This window comes from Homo sapiens, chromosome 20, assembly GCF_000001405.40.
Source record: "Homo sapiens chromosome 20, GRCh38.p14 Primary Assembly".
NCBI classification, from domain to species: domain Eukaryota; kingdom Metazoa; phylum Chordata; class Mammalia; order Primates; family Hominidae; genus Homo; species Homo sapiens.
Genome location: NC_000020.11, coordinates 43303112 through 43306097, shown reverse-complemented (window position 1 = coordinate 43306097; position 2986 = coordinate 43303112). Strand labels below are relative to the sequence as shown.

Here is a 2986-nt window from a genome sequence, read left to right as displayed (position 1 = left end):
GCTCAGACTCAGGCATTTCTTTGTAGCAGTGCAAGAATGCACTAATACAGCCACCATGGACTAATACAGCTTCTTATCAGGAGTTTGACAATGTGAAGGTAAAAGGGAAAGTTCTGCCTTGCTGGGCTCTGGCAGACCTGCTGCTTCAAAGTCCACCTGACTGTGGCCAATTAACATCTGAGTCACAGGAAACTTCCTGAGAACCCAAGGAATAGAAGCTAGGAGCCCTTTGGGGCATCAAGCAGACACACATGGCCCTGGCATAGGGCTGAGCCAATACACAGAACCCAGGGAGAGATGTTCTTGGTATTGGATGGGGCACTGAAGGGAGTGTGTTCCCCTTTGAAAGTTGGGTTATACCTTAAATACAGCATGTTCAAGATGAAACTCAGAATCTCTCCCTCTTCCTTACTCTTCTCCAAGGGAATAGTGAAGCCAGAATCTTAGCTGTGATCTTCCTCCTTAATCCCCATATCCATTCCATCAGCAAATCCTACCTATTGTCTTTGAAACCTGTCTGCTTCTTTCTCTCCATGTCTACTACCATCACTCTTGTCCCAGCCATCATCATCTTTCTCCAAGAGTCTAGGATTAGACAAAGGGCTTCTCATTGATTTCCATGACTCACTCTGCCCCATTTAACTGATTTTCCTGTGAAGATTTCATGAGGAAAGGAGAGAAAATGCATTTATTGGTATCCATTATATTTCAATTCTTTAATTCATTCAATAAATATTTGTTGAGTACTACATGCAACAAGCTCTGTTTTAGGTCTGGCAAACTGGGACATGTAATCATCCTATCTCTCATGCTGTTGAGTGTTATCTTGGAACCATCTCCAATTTCAGAGTCTCTGTTCTCCGTAAGTGATAATCATCGGGATTTTTTTTTAGACAGAGAATCTACATCAAAGCTTAACCATTTTATTTTTCATGGGTGATAAAAATTTCAAGCAGAAAGAGAAGTTTGGAAAGCAAAAAGACCAAGGACTTGCCACCCAATATGAACAGATGAGCACATTTAATCCAATATGTGTCAAATCTTTCTCAAAAGATAAGTCAAATGCTACCCTTATTGCTGAAGTCCTCTTTATGCTTCTCCTGATCCCATTCTCCCATTCTTCCAGGTGGCCACTCCCTTCAGGTTGGTATATTCTTCCTGCCTATGCTTTAATATCTAAATTACATATGGATATATTTATAATCTCTTTGAATTTGTGAATTTAAAAAATTAACGTGGTATCATGCTATAAATATTCTGCAACTTGCTTTTTAAAATCAAACATTATGCTTTAGAAATTAATCCATGCTGATAATATAGATCAGGTATATCCATTTTAATGGCTGTATAGTATTCCAACTTATGAACACATCACAATTTGCCTCTGCATTTCTCTCTCTCTCTTTTTTTTTTTTTTTTGCTATTGATAGATGAGTAGATCTTGAATTTATTTTGCAAACAAGACCTATTCTATCTATCTTTTAATTTAGGAGGCTAAAAGCAGAGTCAGCTTGACTTCAAGGACTGGTTTCTTAGTCTCCAGGTCTCTGTGTTTCTCTATGGAGGGCTATTTAAGTTAGTACTTATTTTTGATGATGGATGATGCTGCAGTAAATATTTTTATTCTTTTCTCCATGAGCACATACATGGGATATTTGTATATTTTCAATCTTTACCAGATACTGACAAATCACTGTTCAAAGAGGCTAGCTTGTGATGTGGTAGGAAAGCTCTAGAATTGAGAACTAGGAGACTTGGCTATAGTCCAGTTCTGGTACCAACTCCCAATGTGACCTCAAGCTTTCCCTTCCTTCCCCAACTTTAAGATGAAGGTCTAGACCAGAAAATCTCTACATTTCCTTCCTCCTGGGCTAGTGAAAGAAATGTTTTGTAGAAAGGTCTTCCCTCCTGGGAGTAAAAAATCTTGCTAAGGTGTGGTTGCTGTAAACCCTAGAGAAGGGTTTATTGCATAAGGCAGTTGAACTTTTTGAGTTCCTTCCAAGTGCTGGGCATGGTTGTCTTACACTTACCTGACTCAGGAGATTAACCTGTCTTCCCAGTAAGGGAGGAGACCACCCCTCATATTGTCTTATGCCCAATTTCTGCCCCCAAAGAAAGAAGTAAAAACTAAAAGGCAGAAATGAAATCCACAGGCAGACAGCCCGGCGCCACACCCTGGGCCTGGTAGTTAAAGATCGACCCCTGACCGAATCAGTTATGTTAAAGATTACAGACATTGTACAGAAAAGCACTGTGAAAATCCCTGTCCTGTTCTGTTCCATTCTAATTACGAGTGCATGCAGCCCCCAGTCACGTACCCGCTGCTTGCTCAATCGATCACGACCCTCTCACATGGACCCCCTTAGAGTTGTGAGCCCTTAAAAGGGACAGGAATTGCTCACTTGGGGAGCTGAGTCTTTGAGACGTGTGTCTTGCCGATGCTCCCGGCCGAATAAAGCCCTTCCTTCTTTAACTCGGTGTCTGAGGGGTTTTGTCTGTGGCTCGTCCTACTACACCAGGACCACAGAGCTAAGAAGTATCAGAACTTGGACTTGAACCCTGGTCTGAGGGATTCCAAAGCCCGAGTTCTATTATCCTACAAGTTGTTTCTGCTTTGCCACAGGGCAAGTTATTTTCCAACACCCCTATCTGGACTGTTGCAATGGCATTATCCTTGGTAGTCTCAGTGGGCAGACACTGTAGATACCAAGGGGACCCTGCTCTGTGCAGAGACTGAAGCCAAGGCCCTGCCCCAGAAATTCACAGATGAGCCTTTAGACATGAGGAGAGGCTAAGAGAGAGCCCTCTTTTGGAGGGAAGATAAGGAACAAATGAGGCTGACCCAGAAGCTGAGGACATCATAAAGAATGAACTGTGAAGGCATTTATTCTCCAACTACAGCTAATGAACCAGTGAGGAAATGGCATCAATAAGAAGCAAATTAAACATCAGCTCTAGTTAATTCGTAAGCACAGCTGCCTGCCTT

At 41.9% G+C, this 2986-nt stretch overlaps 1 non-coding gene across 1 annotated transcript; it reads right to left on the bottom strand.

Moving 5' to 3' along the window:
• Positions 1-1418: 1418 nt before the first annotated feature.
• On the bottom strand, positions 1419-1543 carry LOC124900461 (small Cajal body-specific RNA 15). Its single transcript, XR_007067764.1, has one exon.
• Between the last annotated feature and the right edge of the window lie 1443 nt (positions 1544-2986).